At 47.6% G+C, this 16439-nt stretch overlaps 1 protein-coding gene across 10 annotated transcripts in view; it reads right to left on the bottom strand.

Annotated features, from left to right (window-relative positions):
• The window catches only part of CEMIP (cell migration inducing hyaluronidase 1), a 172402-nt gene that overhangs the window by 40354 nt on the left and 115609 nt on the right, over positions 1 to 16439 (bottom strand). For all 10 annotated transcript variants that reach the window (XM_047432894.1, XM_047432897.1, XM_047432893.1 and 7 more), the window contains 4 exons: positions 16296 to 16428; positions 15358 to 15549; positions 4580 to 4755; positions 2112 to 2321 (listed from right to left, as the gene is read on the bottom strand). In XM_047432894.1, coding sequence (XP_047288850.1) covers positions 2112 to 2321; positions 4580 to 4755; positions 15358 to 15549; positions 16296 to 16428 — 711 coding nt within the window. The remainder of the gene's footprint in view (positions 1 to 2111; positions 2322 to 4579; positions 4756 to 15357; positions 15550 to 16295; positions 16429 to 16439) is intronic.

Raw genomic sequence — 16439 nt, 5'->3', positions numbered from 1 at the left:
TGAATTTAAGCTAAATTTATGAATAGAACTTCAACAAAAATGCTTAGAACAAGTAAAGCTCCAAAGACTCAGTGAAGCCTGTTATCTTTCCTAACCAATTCTACATTGTTCTCTTCACCATGTATCCTGACCTCCATCACCACCCTGTGTGAGAAAGGTGTGACTGCATCCATTGCACTGGTTCTGCAAATCGCATGAGGGAGCAGGACAGACCTGAGACCTGCACCCAGGGCAAAGTGTGGGCCACACACTGGGCTCCATGCTTTCCATGTTCTCTGCTTGCTCAATCCTGGAAGCAACCATGTAGGGTAAGCAGTGCCATCCTCTCCGTTTTACAGAAGCACAGAGCAGTAAAATGACTGGCCCAAGATCACATGGCTTGTAAGCGGCAGAACTCCAATCGCAACCCAGGAAGTCTGGCTCCAGAGCCCATGCTTATCCCTGACATTCTGAATTTATTGTAAATCTTGATGTCTTTCAGCTTCAGCCAGAAAACATTCTCCTTTCCTTTTTCCTTGAGACAGAAAAAAATCCTACATCTTCCAGCAATGGCTCCAGCACAGTCCTCTACCACCTGCTGGGGAGAATCAGCCTTCATGTGTGGACAGCATCTCCACATGAAACCCACTTGCATCTCATTCATCCTCACGACAGCCCTATGTGTTTGGTGTTGTTTCTCCACTTGACTGAGCAGGAAACTGAGGTTCAGAGAGGTTAAGCTACTTGCCCAAGGTCCCACAGCTCACAATCTGTGGATCAAGCCCTTGAACCCAGGCCCCCCTAGACTGGGCTCCAAAGCCGATGATCTCTTCTCTTTACTCAGTGGGAGGTTTTAAATCAGAGCATTTAAAACACAGAAACAACAGACAATCCTTTATAATAGAAGAGTACATCAAATAGAACCACACTAGTGTCACACAGACAGCCTCCTCATTTTCCCATAACCATATGCCTGTTGGCGAGGCTCGCTCTGCTTGGTTTAAAGCAGTGCTTACAAACTCAAATGCCCACAGGGACCAGCAGGCAATGAAAGGAGTGGCACCGGCCTGGGGTTTTACAGTAATTGTAACAGCCACGGTAGGCCTGCTGCACACTGGAGAATGCCCACCCACCTGTCTTAGGGGAGGCAGCCTTGACTCTGCTCTAAGCCATTGTTGCCATGCAGGGAGGCAGGATGGGCATTGCCAACTCATCCTACTTTTCAAAAGAAGCCAGGAATCCAGATTTTTATGTAGAATCTCTTAATTTTTAAATGATGGAAACTAATTCAAATGTTTCTTTAACCACTATTTAAGCCAAACAAAACACATCGTGTAGCTGGATTCAGCTTAAAGGGTGTCATTCTGTGACATCCGGTTTTAAAGTTTATAGAGGATATAAAGTGTAGTTCATTTAAAGAAAGTCCAATTTAGTGTAAAATTATCAATTTAGTGTAAAAATGTTCAAATGTTTCTCTAAACACAGTATAAGCCAAACAAAACATATCTGGTTGCTAGATTCAGCTTGCGGGGTACCATTTTGTGATGTCCAGTGTTAAACTTTACAGAGGATAGAAATGTAGTTCACTTCGAGAAAGGTCAATTTAGTACGAAAATTATCTGTGGAAATCAAGACAAGCCTCTGATACACATGCCAATTTGTTAATGAGAGTATTTCTCCCAGCAGCACTTGCTCTGAAGGAACACTTGGTTCATCAGAAGAAAAAAAGCCCATTGTTGTCACCATCTCAAATCTGTTGGGTAGATACCACAGCCGGGTCTTCGCATGATCCCCCTGTCTGCAGTTAGCAGAGCTGTCATGCTGTGTGGCCGTGGAATGATCTCCAGATTTCATGTGATGCCAATGAAGTACAGGAAAAACTGGACTCCCAGAAACCACCACAAAGTAATCACTCTCCCATCTCTGCTTGGTACCTTTGGTAAGGACAAACCTCTATTTTCTCCTTCCTGTTTGGTTGGTGATCTGCTCCCAGTTGATATCTTTCTGAAACCTGAACTAAGGATGGTTCAATCCCCAAAGGCCCTGGATTAAGTGTCTACATCCAAACACCCCTCCAGTGCTAACCATCCATGGCCCATCCCCAGAGTTCCCTGAGGGAAGGAGGTTCTTACCAACAAGCCATTGGAGCCATGGACTGTGACGCAGCGAGAGAATGTATGATGGATGGAGAGGTCCCTGATGTATGTGGGTGGGTCATAACCTCCCCTTTCGTCTACATCACCGGCCAGGTGGAAGTGAATCGGGTACTGACCCACCAGCTGCTGTCCCATATGCTTCAGCTCCGTGCCCTCCAAGTGTGCTGCCTTAAATCCCAGAGCAAACTAGGAGAGGAGAACCGAGAGTCAGAGGAGCCCATGAGATGCTTTGTGATTTCCCTGGCTGGTGCCCATATTCCAAAGATGCAGAGGCATTGTTCTTTGTCAGTCTCCACTTAGTACTCAGTAAATCAAAGATATTCTCTGCAAATGGGTTAGAATGCCTGGCCCTTCTTATACTGTGGAAGACAGGCAAGGCACTGCTAATGACAGAGGACATTGTGAGGAAATGGAGTGCTTAGAAATGAGATGTTCTGAAGAGCTATGCTATAGCTGGGGCTCACTTTGAACCTCCTTTCCTGTCTCCCAAACCATCAAGTGTTATGAGCAAGGGATAACTCTGAGATAATCTGGAGGAGTGGGCTGGCAAAAAGCATGCCCTATGACCATGGGGAATCCAGGTTACAGTGAAGTATGGAGCAGCAAGAGCCTTTGCCATTGTCTCCCACCCAAGACCTTCTCCTAGCAAAGGGAAAGGGAACACCGACTCTGGAATCTTCATGAGCCCATGTTCTGGTGGCATGTGTGTGAGTGGAGGGAATGCCACACACTCACTTCACGATATGCATAGACCCATTCTTTCAGGCTCAAGAAAACCTCTTGACCACACGGAACTCCTGCCCTCCAGGGTGCCTACCATGAAAACACAGTCTGAAAATGAATCCTGTCAAAAGTCAGGCTCAGCTAACCTCTACTAAAGAAGGATAGTCTTGGCATGCTAACCATTTCTTCCAAAAATAGGTGTCAACTGGAGTGTCAACTCCAGTAGTAGCGGCCCTGGAGAGCTGTGTTGAGAATGATTCTGAGGGCTAGTTTGAGCTCAGTGGGAAAGAGTCCCCTGATCATTCAGGGACTGGTCTCAGGATTGAAAAGGGGGCTATAGCAGCTTGTGTGACATAGACCTGCTATTTCTGCTTTAGTATCACTAATGAGTTTCTCAACTGAGGACAGTACCATCACCTCTGCCCCACCCTATACCCAGGAGATGACTGGATATATAAAGCGTTTTTGGTGGTGATAATAACTGGGGAGCGCTGCTAGCATTGAATGAGTAGGGGCCAGGGATGATAGAAATCCTATAATATAGGCCTATGTGACAAAGAGTCATCTCACATAAAATGCCAGTAGGGCCCCCATTGTGAATGCTGTAAGTTTCACTCCATTTGTCTCTTCAGTTCCACTACCAAAAAGTCTTATCCTTAAAGTGCGTGATATTAGCTTTACGAGAACTGTCTTAGCAAAACTCTGAGGTAATATTATGCTATTGGCATTGAAACCAATTACCACATGAAGAAATTGTGGGTATCTTAAGCAATATAATATGCCTGGAAAAGGCACTTTGCATTGTGATATAAAAGAAATTCCTCTTTGAGCTTAATACTAGGAAAACGTAAGCACCAGTAAATTAGTATCGTTTTCCTATATTGTGCGGTAAGAACCCTGCAGCTCACTATGTCTCTTCTTTGTCTTGACTCTAGCCAGGAAACTCACAGGTAAATTTAATGCTACAACTTCTTTTTGTTTTTGTTGTTGTTTTTGTTTTGAGATGGAGTCTCACTCTGTCACCAGGCTGGAGTGCAGTGGTGAGATCTCGGCTCCCTGAACCTCTGCCTCCTGGGTTCAAGCAATTCTCCTGTCTCAGCCTCCCAAGTAGCTGGGATTACAGGCGCCCGCCACCAGCCCAGCTAATTTTTGTATTTTTAGTAGAGACGGGGTTTCACCATGGTGGCCAGGCTGGTCTCGAATTCCTGACCTCAGGTGATCCACCCGCCTTGGCTCCCCAAAGTGTTGGGATTACAGGCGGGAGCCACCACGCCCAGCCAATGCTGTGACTTCTAGTTCCTCTCACCTGCTTATTGTTTTATCTATATGGTAATGGATCCATTGTAAATGTGACCTTTTGCAAGTTAAATGCTAGTTCTTTTAGGAAGTGATCAGGGCAATAATGAAGTAATCATGAAATAATGAAGACAAGGAATGAAGGCAATGTTGAAACAGTGTGATGTGTACCACGTGGCCGAGAGCAGAGAGCTGTTTGTTGCTGAGTTAGCTCCATCATCTCTCTTATTCCCAAATATTGGTGGGGGGGGAGCTGCACACTAATGGATAATACATAAGACTTCTCAAACTTCCAGAAGGCGCCCTCCCCTTGATCCCACCTCCTGTTCCCCCACCCTCATCCCTACCAAGAAGGCCCGTCTAGAGGCTGACATCATAGGAACTCTCCTGGTTGGGTTGAAAGACTCTGCCAGAGAGACACATACCTTGATGTGGCCCCCAAAGGTATCGAAGTCAAAGAAATTGCAGATGTGGTTTCTGTAGGGGTAGCATTTGTCCTCCATCTCCCCCATCACTATGATGTTCCGGCTCAGAAGCCCAACCTCCGCCCGCATGTCCACGCCGTCTATCTCCTCCCCGATGTGCAGGTACATTGGTTTCCCTAGGGCAGAAAGGGAGGACGGTAAACAACAGCAGGTACTGCATGCCCACTGAGTTCTGGGCCCCTGCCAGGTGCCTCCATGGCTGCTGCTTACTCATCGCCATGCCTGGTGTGCACAGTGGTCTCATGTTACAGAAGGATGAAGGTCAGGGAGGTGAAGTCACACGCCTGCATGCAGACCCAGATCTCACAGTTACACAGGCTTAGGTCTGAAGCCTTTGGCAGAAATGGCTAATTGTCCCCTAATATTTGTCTCCTCTTCTGTTTTTCAGTCCTAGACTCCTGCATTTTAGCTGGACACAGGGCCACCCAAGGGAATGACATTTCTCAGCCTCCCTGTAGTTAGGTGTGGCTGTAAGGTTTGAGAAGTGATAAGTGCCACCTCCAGACTGCCCTCCTCTTGCTCTTTTCTGGGGGCTGGCAGGCCAGCCTCGCCCATGCAGGTGAGCACCATGCCCCAGAGATGGCAGAGCAACGGGAGAGAAGAAACCTGGTCTCTGGATGATACCGTAGATTGCCGATCTTAGGAAGATAAAACAGAACCCCTCTGTCTTTAAAGCCCCTGCTTTACAGCAGTGCAAATTCATAATCTGTTAAAGCAGGCAAATCCCTATTCTGCTTACCTCAGCCTCATGTAGAGTGTGTATCTACAGCCTGGGGCTCCAGAAAGAGCCAGATTGGAGCTTCTGCATCCACCACTGTGGCCTGGCTCTGGATGCCTCCATGGTACCACGTGGAGCAGTGAAGAACGGCCTCCACCCAACTCTGTACTGAGCTCCTCACCATCCCCCACCCTTCCTCTGGTGTCGGTGGAGAGGATGCTCTCCCGACTTGTGCACTGACCCCCAGTCTTACCCCTTTCCATATCCTTAAGGCCCTGGACTCCCTCCACTAGTGATTTCATTTCTTCCTTCATTTGGGCTCCTTATATTCCGTCTTCAAACTTCTCTAGACCTTCCCATCCTTAAAAAACTAACAAACAAAAGACCTTTTCCAGTTCTGCTACCCCTCCTAGTAATTGCCAGTCTTTCTCCTGCTGTAATCAGAGCCCCTGAACCTGTGGTCTGCACCTAACCCCTCTGTTTTCTCTCCATTCTCTCCCTCCCATCACTCCACTCAATCTCTTGCCAAATGCAGTCCCTTCCTCCCCACTCTGTGCAGAAAATGCATCTCAAGAACGGTGCAGGGTGACAAGAGTTCAAACTTTAGAACTGCCTTTGATTTATAGCCGCAAATTCTGCCTCCACAACAATCCCACACTCTTTTATGGAATAAAGAGATCTTAGGCGGGCTCTAAATTCGTTGGGCTCTTCACTGAGGTTGCTGACCTGGCTTATGGATACTTTCTCTTCCATTTGAGGATACAATTACAGACAGCAGTAACCTCCCATGTGGATACCCAGCCTGAACCACACCACCTACACGGCTTGGCTTTCGCTGTGATCTTAACTGGAGCAATGGAGCACTGGCCTCAGCCCCCAGACACTGCCAGTGTTCACATGTGAAGGCCATGGTTATAATTAGCCCTGAGTAACACCCACTCCAGTGACACTGTCCTGCTCTCTCCTCCACAGGAAGAGCTGACTCTTGCCTGCCCCTTCACCCTGCGCATATCCTGTATGCCTGCAGTGTTTCTAGGGATGTTTACTCTTCTGGGATTCTGCAGACTCAGTGAGATTGTGGGGTTTTTTTTGAAGTATCTTATTCAAGATGTGAAATTGACGCAGGGCAAATTTGAGAAAATATCTCCTATGGAGTTGGTATTAGTTTCCTATCCTGCAGTAACAAATTACCGTAAACTTAGGGGCTTAAAACAACATAAATGTATTCTCTTATAGCCTTGGGAGTCACAAGTATGAAATGAATCTAACGGGGATAAATCAAGGTGTCAACAGGGCTGGTTCCTCATGGAGGCTCCAGAGGAGAATCTGTTCCTTGCCCTTTTCAGATTTGAGTGGCTGCCTGTGTTCCTTGGCTCATGACCCCTTCCGCCATCTTTAACGTGCATCACTCCAGTCGCTGCCCCTGTCATCACGTCACTTTCTTCTGACTCTGACCTTCCTGTGTCCCTCTTTTAAGGACCCTTGTGATCACATTTGGCCCACCCAGATAATCCAAGATAATCTCCCATCTCCAGAACCTTAATTTACCACATCTGCAAAGTCCCTTTTGTCACATAAGCTAACATTCATGGGTACTGAAGATCAGGACATGAATATATTTAGGGGTCATTATTCCATCTATCACAGAGTCCTCCTTCTTTTTCAGATACTGGGTTGGGTCTTGCCCTGTCACCCAGGCTGGAATGCAGTGGTGTGATCACAGCTCACTGTAGTCTCGAACTCCTGGGCTCAAAAAATCCTCCTGCCTGGGGATCCCAAAATGCTGGGACTACAGGTGGGTGCCACCACACCCAGCACAGAATCCTTCTTTAAACAAGTATCAGACTTTAAGTAATAATAATCTTAGAAAGATTTCATTTACTGCAATGGACTCTTACTCCCTGATATGCAGATGCCAAAAAGCTCTGTGCCCTGCCAAAGGGGTCAGGAGTGGACACCACACGTGGAAGCTGTCAGGCCTTTGGTTTCATCCAGGGTTCTGACACCAACCAGGGGAAATGATATGAAATGAGTTAACTCTGCAGAATGCTGGAGCCCCCTCCTCCAGGGCAGCCCACTGAACATGGCTTCTCATTTGGGCCACAGAGCCATGTGTCTTTACAGTTCTAAGATCCAGAAGCAGGGCTCCTTCCGGCCACCCACAGAAAAACCTTTCCTTCCATCCGTGACTCATCTCCCATCCATCAGCTCTGTGGTCTTCAGTTACGGGGCCTTCCCAGGTGTGGGGGGCAGAATCTTTCTGAAACAGAGCTTTGCACTGGCTTCTGAGTGGATCCTGAGAGCACACAGCAAACTTCACCAAGGAAAGGAATCAGACTTCCCAAACTCCCCAAAGGGTTGAGCATGTTGAGGGAACAGGCACAGAGAGCAACAGGCTCAGTCTTGCCAGGCAGGGGATGGCAAAGAGGTCTCCATGCAAAACTCAGCTCCCCGTTTACCAGTCTAAGGGGTTGACACAGTGAAACTCCAACTCCTGTGGGTTCATCTCATCACTCCCACATACCCTCTTCTGTTCTGGCCAGACCAGACCATCATCCTTCCTTGAACATGCCTTTGCTATTTTACATCTCAGAGCTTCCATGCGTGTATCTCCCTCTACCTGCAGCAAGCTTTCTCCACTTTGTCCCACTTAGCTCCAGTTCCTCCTTCTCAGTGATGTCCTCCCTGACCACACTCAATGTTAGTCTTTCCTTCTGGGAGTTCCTGCAGTGCTCAGCAGAGCCAGGAAACCAGGCCGAGCCTCCCCGCCTCCAGGACATTCATCCTTCGTCTTCCAACCATCCCTTACAGCACGTGCATCCTGGTGCTCTGGGTGCTTCTCTCAACTTGCCAGCATCCACCTTAAAATATGGTGTCCAGGAAGGACACTGACTAGAGGCTTCTGCTCTTGTAGGTGGCCAGAGGACCTTCCTCAGGGATCTGGTCTTGAACGTGGCTGCAGAGGTAAGATAATGTGATGGGGAGGATTGTGACTCTGGAGCCAGGCTGTGAGGGTCAGATTCCAACTCAGCTCACAGCTGTGAGTCCCTGAGCATATTTAAGCTCCTGGAACCTCAGGCTCTTCATCTATAAAATGGAGATAATAATAGCACATACCTCAAAAGTTGGCTGTGATTGTTAAATGAGTTAATCCATGGGCTGTGCTTAGAAATTAAGCCCCTGGCATATGGTAGGAGGCTAGTGTAACAGAAATGACACCTGCAGCTGTCACTAGCACCATCCCCAAGGCTCCCACCACTGGCTTCACACCTATAATAATGGGAGTTGGTAGATAGCAAATTTGGCATCTTTCTTTGTTCCGTAGGAGAAGTTGGGCAGGGTGTAGGAGTGACTGTCAGGTAGGTGGAGGCACTGTGTTTATCAGACTCCCGTCAGCCAAGGAAATATAAGTCAGATTGAGAGCTGCAAGAATATTTCAGTCCCACAGCCGTCTTCCCGGCTGCAGAGCTTCCTATCAGAACCTTTTACAAGACCTGGCCATGGCTGTTAGCTGCGGCAGCCACCTTATCTGTCCTGCTGCCGCCTTCACTGGCCACTCCCAGGCTGCTATCCGAGAGATGAGGGACAGTGTGTGCCTGACTCCCCCGCACCCCATCCTGCCTCAGAATTCTCCCACCAGCATCCACTCCTCCCTTCCTCCTCAAAGTACTGATACGTGAAGCCCAACCAGGGAAAAGCAGATGTGGCCAAACTAGCCTTGTCTCAAATAATCCAGAAGAGCCATGAGCACCTGGGTGAGCGGGGAGGAGGCCTGGGAAGCAGAGGGGCTCTGCACAGTTGCCCTACACAGGGCTGCAGATGTCACCCTTCCCTAGTCTTTACTCTGCAGGTGTCCTGCTTCCACAACCCCCAGATCCCTCTCTAGAGAGTACACAGGGTGCTAGGTACCCCAGGGTCAAGAGAAGAAAAAACATCAAAGACCTTCCAATGGAGGGAGCCAGAGTGTGCACATGTAGCTCAGACCTAGCAGGACTCAGTGAGTCTGGTGGAGAGGGAGATGGGGCCTGACCTTCTCAGATCGGGTATGAGGACAAGCCCAGAGGGACTTAAGCTGGAGGGCCCCAGAAAGCAAACTTAAACCCAGGTTCCTCACAGTCATCTTCAGGTGGAGACTTTGGGAACAAGGGCCTTCACTGAGGGAGAATGAAGCTGAGTTGAAATCCTGGCTCAGCTGTTGACTTGCTTGACCTACATCAGTGCCGCCCACTAGAACTTCCTGTGATGAAGGAAATGCTCTATTCTGCGTTGTCCAGTATGGTAGCCACTAGTCACCGGTGGCTACTGGACACACGAAACCTGGCTGCTGTGACTGAGGAATCAATTTTTTTTTTTTTTTTGAGACAAAGTCTCACTCTTGTCCCCCAGGCTGGAGTGCAATGGTGCGATCTCGGCTCACTGCAACCTCCACCTCCAAGGTTCAAGCGATTCTCCTGCTGCAGCCTCCCGAGTAGCTGGGATTACAGGTGCCTGCCACCACACCCGGTTAATTTTTGTATTTTTAGTAGAGACGGGGTTTCACTATGTTGGCCAGGCTGGTCTCGAACTCCTGACCTCAGGTGATCCACCCACCTCAGCCTCCCAAAGTGTTGGGATTACAAGCGTAAGCCACCACGCCTGGCCAGGAATAGAATTTTTAACGTAATGTAATCCAATTTAGACTTAAGTAGCCACATGTGGCTCGTGGCCACCATATTGGAAATTAAATGTCTAGATATTTAATTTCCATGAGCCTCAGTTTCCTCATTTGTGTCATGAAGAAAACAGTAGCCCCTACTGTATTAGGTTGTTGTGAAGAGTGAACAAGATGGTTTATGTGAAGTACTTGGAATATCACAGAAAACGAAATTCATGTTAATTCTAGCTAATAGTGGCATTCTTTAAAGATGTGGGGGGTGTTTATGGGCAAAGTGGGGAGGTGGTAAAGACAACAGGGTGGAAAATCAAGGGAGGGGAGTTCCAACTGCCACACTGTGAGGTGTTGGTAATCATACTGTGGTTGACAAAATTTTGAAATTTTTTTTTAGATGATTCATGCATTTTCATTACTATGTTACCCCCATCTGTTTCCCATCAGAAAGGCCTTAAGGGAAATGCAAACAGTCCTGTAGAATGAAATCTGGGAGCAATGAGGAAGAAGGACCCAGGGAGATCGTGTCCGTGTCTGCAGCCAGCCTGGGGAAGAGAAGCCTAAGAGATAGCTGTGTCCCTAGGTGGGTGGGTGGGGCTCACAGAAAAGGGAGAAGCAGGTGGAATCCTTGATCCTGTCAACAGGGAGATGGAGAGCCAGAGAATGGGCTTGGGGATGAATAGGAGGAATGTGAGCCTCTCCAGAACAGACAGACACAAAATACACACACAAAATACACACACACACACAGACACACACACAGACACACACACACACACACACACACACACACACACACACACACACACACACACACACACACACACCCCTACCTGGGGCTTTTCTGGTGCTGTTCACCAGGGGCTGCTGTTTTCATGGGGGCCTCACAGCTCCTCGGCAGGGCAAAGGAGGTGGCTGCTCCGAGCCGAATGTCCTTCAGGGAGGGAGGTAGGCTGGGGTGGGGCTAACGCGGAAACAAGCACAGGCAGTGCTAACCCCAAGGAAAGTGGAGGGCGTTGAGGTGGGCGCAGGATCTTCTCCACTTATCCTCTCCCGCTTGGTACTCGGGGCCTGGAGCTGCCCCCCTGCATTCTGTCCAGCCTTCAGGGACCTCCAGAAGCAGCTGACCCAGGCAGTCAAACGTGATCAAGAAGAGCAGCTCTCCTGCATGGACACCCCAACCCCACTGTAGGCTGAGGCAGAAATGCTCTGACGCACACAAGGTTCTCCATTCTCAGGGCCACCCTCGGCACCACAGCTGCCTTGTCAGGACCTGCTCAAAGTGAGAACTCCCGTGCAGGCCTTGGGGTGACCCACCCTGGGGTGCAGATGGGGACTGGTCTCAAGAAACCCCGAGCACCTCTCCCTGGCATGCCCTCCCACCTCCATGCAGGCAAGGGCTCACGGTCAGGCTTTCACCCTCCTAAATAGTCCAAATGCTACCCCAGGCCCATGGATCATCTTATAGTGAGCAGTGACATCAGCTCAGATGGTCTGAATGCCACTCCTGCCAAGAGTCCAGGGGGACATCTGACCTCCCAGAGGCTTCTTCACAATTGTCCCTGGGTGACACATAGTCATTCAGTGAAGACCCAAGGGTTTAACAATCATTAGGAACTTGCTTTTCTTGGCTCCCTCCTATAAACACAAATCTAGACGGTCTTTCCCTGCCAGGGGATATCCAGTAGGCTTCTGCCCTTCAATGACTTCCCTGTGCACTCAGAATAAAGCCCTTAACTGCACCATGGCCCCTCCCTCTCTCTCGAGCCCCATGCAGCCCTCCCATTCTCTACTTCAGCTACTCCGGCCTCTTGGTAGCTGGAACGCCTCATGCACCCCTCAACTTTATGTTCCCCTGTGGCAGTACTTCTCCCTAGGTAGCTTCTATTCTGTCTCAGCTCAGTCACTCATTCCTCTGGGAAGACTCACATGCCCATCTGTCTTTGCCAAATCTCCCTTTTCTATACTCCCAGCACCTCCCATATTCCACTTTGATAGCAGTTGTCATCATTCTATATTGGAATTCTATTTTGATTGGAACAATACTTTGGTGGATATCTATCTTCACTGCTGGACTGCAGGCTCCCTGAGGACAGGGAATGCATCTATCTTGCTCACCATGGCATATACAAGCCTGGCACATTGCCTGGCACATTGTATGTGTTTTCTTTCTCTCTTTCTTTCTTTTTTTTTTTTTTTTGAGACAGAGTATTACTCTGTCACCCAGGCTGGAGTGCAGTGGCATGATCTTGGCTCACTGCAACCTCCGCCTCCCAGGTTCAAGTGATTCTCCTGCCTCAGCCTCCTGAGTAGCTGGGATTACAGGCACGCGCCACTACACCCGGCTAATTTTTGTATTTTTAGTAGAGACGGGGTTTCATCATGTTGGCCAGGCTGGTCTCGAACTCTTGACCTTGTGATCCATCTGCCTCAGCATCCCAAAGTCCTGGAATTACAGACGTGAGCCACCGCGCCCGGCCTGTATGTGCTTTCTAATGGCTTGTTGAATACATGATGAAATGCTCCTGCCCACCTCCCTGTGGAGGAAAGGTGGGGCAAGGCCACCTGCCCAGCCTAAGGGTGGGGGAAGTGTGCAACATGCACACTGACAGAGATGGCATCCACACCTTGAGGCACTGGAGACATGCAGAGAAATAGCTGCAGGCCTATGACAGACCTATGTTCATTAATAATGATGATAGCCGGGTGTGGTGGCTTATGCTTGTAATCCTGGCACTTTGGGAGGGCTGAGGAGGGAGGATCGCTTAAGCCCAGGATTTCAAGAACAGCCTGGGCAACATAGTGAGGCTCTGTCTCTATAAAGCAATAACAATAATAATAATGATAGAAATAGTTTGTTTCCCTCTCACTACAACACCCTCTACCTGCATGTCCCAAAGGAGCAGAATTGGTATAAATTGCTGTTAGCCACACCCCTTCCTCCTTTCCCATCTTTAAGCATAGCTGCTAAATTATTGCACCTAATGGTAATAATAAGAGCTAACATTCATTAAGCACTTACTGTGTGCTAGGCAATATTGTAAGTGCCTCACATATACAAACTCCTTTAATCCTCACAACAATCCCATGAAATAGCCACAATCATTATCTCCATTTACAGATGAGGAAGCTGACATAAAGAAAGATTACGTAATTGTCTAAGGTCATACAGCAAATAACTGGCATTCCTGGAACCCAAATTCCAGGTGTCTTGTTCCAAAGCCCATGTTCTTTATTCTATTCTGCCTCTGCCAAACAAAACCCAAACCAAAAATGTCTTCTTCAAAACGTCTTCATAGAATGTGACCAACAGCATGTCCCCATCTACTATTAGGAGTCAAACTGCAAATAGCCCCACACAGAGCATCTTTGCATAAAACTGCTCCCAGCATTGCTGCTCACATTGTTGTGAATATCTTTCATATGAAAACCCCTGTGGAAAATTCCTCAGTGGCTCACAGCTGAGAAAGTTGTCCCTCTTGGTCTTCTGGGCTCCTTGTTGCCTTCCTTTCAGTGGATAATGATAGTTAAGTAATTTGTGAGGTTTCTTTCTTTGCTCTGGCTTCCAGGTAGCTTAGAGATAAAGTTTATTGTCTATTTTAGTATCTTCTGCTCTTCTGCTAATCTCGGTCACCTCCCCCTCTGCTTTTGCTGAATTTATTCTCCTTCCATCTTTTTTACCCTCATTGCCAGATTTACTTGGACTTGTGTTTATGGTAAGATACCCTGAAACCTTTTGCAAATAATGTAGGGGTTCAAACATTGTCAATTAAAAAAGCAGACTCTGTTACTTTGTCAAGGAACAAATGTCTAGTCATCTTGGCCTCTACCCACAAGCTGCTGCTTCTTTCCCTCTCTTTAGCTACACTCACCAAATTACCATCTCCCTCCAAAACACGTAAGCCTTCTTTTTCAGGGTCTGAGGTGTAAGGTGGGCACCCTGACATCACAGCTGCATTGTTTGTGGACTGCCTCCACCACATGACCTCTAGGTCCGCCTCCCCCATGAGTGTTAAGATAAGGGGACTGAATTCCATCAGTGTTCTCAGATTTTTTAAACTTTGCCTCCACAGATTCTTCCACAAGCACATCTCAGGCAGCCAAAAAGATTGTGTTGAATTTTATGTTCTGTGGGTTTCTTTCCAAAATAATAGATATGGTGAGTATATTGGATACGCTTTCTCAATCCATGGTCTTTCTCCCAACCCCATATTCTAATACTCCTCCAGGTGGTATGGTCCTGTAGCATGTGATACGTTTAACACCTCTTAAGTTCTGATTCCCCTTTCTTCTGGTAATATATCCCAATTTTCCTTTGCGGAACAGCCATTTATCCATTTAATGCAGTCTTAGAAGAACTTTCAATGACTGTTCCTGCCTTTCCTAGCCAAAGGGTGAGCACACAAGCCACCAGCCCAAGCAGATGCTCTCTCCCTGGAAGGTGACTTTTGAGCACTATGTCCCATGGCCTAAGCATGGTTCTTAAAGATGATGCCTTAAGGATACAGTCCATTAGTTCCTGCTACCCAGATCCCAGAAGCTACCCTGTTCCCTGTCCTTTTGGAGGTTAGTTATTCAGCTTATCCTTTAGTTCTCCAAGTTGAATAGCCTCTCAATAAATTCCTGTTTTGCTTAAGATAGTCAAGTTGGATTCTGTTGCTAACAGCCAAAGAACTCTAATTGATACATAACTCCCCCTACTAAGAATAATTGACCTGGATTATATTTGAAGTCTCTTTTTACCTTCAACAATCTGTGATTCCAGTAACCTCCAATAACATAAATTACAGGACATCTAAATCAAGATTTAGGAGAAGAAAAAGAAAAACCCCAAACTCACAGATACAAGAGATTAAAAATTTTGTAGTAGATTGAATAACTGTCTAACAAATATTCACTTCCTCCCCCTCAAACTTGGTGACAGACATATGCTTCCCTAGCCTATTTGTGTTGTGCTTTACCATGTGACTTACTTTAGCCAATGGAATGTGTGAGAATGTGCCATCTTTGAGCCTAGGCCTTAAGAGTTCTGTGTTTCTGCTCACCACTAGGAGTTTGCAATCTCCCCCGTGAGAAGAATATGTTTTGGGAAGAATGGGAGTCATATGGAAGTGACTTGAACCCAACTCTCAGCCTGGAGTCAGGCTCAGTCTAGAGAAGCTGATCCCTAGACAACCTGCAGATACATGAGTAAGAAATAAAGACCTGTCATGAAGTTTTAAGATTTTTTTTGTTATGCAGCATTATTACAGCCATAGCTGACTGATACAGATTTGTTGTAACTTCAGTTTACTTTAAGCCTAACAATTTTCAGATTCATCCAGTCTAGGAAGGGATTAGTAAAAGTCCTACCTGCCACTTTGACCTGGTTGGGGGCGCAGGATCTGCAGGGAAGCACCTGGAACTCTTCTGCCTGGTACATGGAGTAATCAGTACTGGCAATGACCAGGGTATCTCCAGGTTTCCATGACTGTACATTATCCTCCAAGTTCAGAATGGTGCTGTTCACATTGGTGTCAATGGTGACTGTGAGTTTGGGCCTCACTGTAACCCAAAACAGGAAAGACTGAGATAGAGCCCTTTGCTCTTGGCAAACTTTTGGCTACCTCTTTTTTCCCTTCCCCTCCCTAAATAACTAAATGCCAGGTTTGCCTATCCAAAACCCAGATCACTGGCTTGCTCCATCCCACTCTTGGTAAAGGTTTTTGAAGTCAACAAAAACCCTACCAGAAAAGAGCCATTCATTAGCTCTGGGCGGGGGAATTTTCCACTAACTTCTTAGCTGGAGTTAAATGTGGCTGCCTCACCCCACCCACTTTGCTCAAGATGTAAAACAAATATAGTTCCTCTCAACTATTATTTTCGGTAGCCATAAACTTCTCCCCCTAAACTTTCATTCCTAATGACTGCCTTCTGGAGATGGCCAAGTGCCTCCGAGAACAACCCGACCATTTCCAATCTCTTCTAACAAGCACCTTAGGTACTGGATTTAAAATAATAGCACCCAAAGAGGCAAAGAACTGCACATCTCTGCAGGGGAGGGCAGCTCTGTCCATTTGTACCTTGACTGCCTTGGACCAGGCCCTTCCCCTTCCTGAAAGGCTTATGGGCAGGGTGGGGTTCTGCTGTCTCCTGCCAACTCCAAGGATCCTCCCACTGCTCCCGTGTCACAAAAGTGCTCTCCTTTGGGAGCACTGTCTCACTGAGAGGTCTGGAAGTTGCCTGCATAGCTGCCAGTTCAAGGAACCGAGCCATAGTTGCATCTGTGTCCCCGACAAGGGGCTGCTTACCAGGCTTCCCACAGAGGAACCGTACACGGTAGCTCCGGCAGGCTCTGCCCCGGTCGTAGCAAGCAAACCTATAATCCTGGCCTTTTTTGTAGACAACCTCGGTGCTGAGGTTAACTCCATCCATTGTAGTGGCCTGGGAATGAC

The sequence above is a fragment of the Homo sapiens genome, chromosome 15 (assembly GCF_000001405.40).
Source record: "Homo sapiens chromosome 15, GRCh38.p14 Primary Assembly".
NCBI lineage: Eukaryota > Metazoa > Chordata > Mammalia > Primates > Hominidae > Homo > Homo sapiens.
This window is presented reverse-complemented; position numbering and strand designations above follow the sequence as displayed.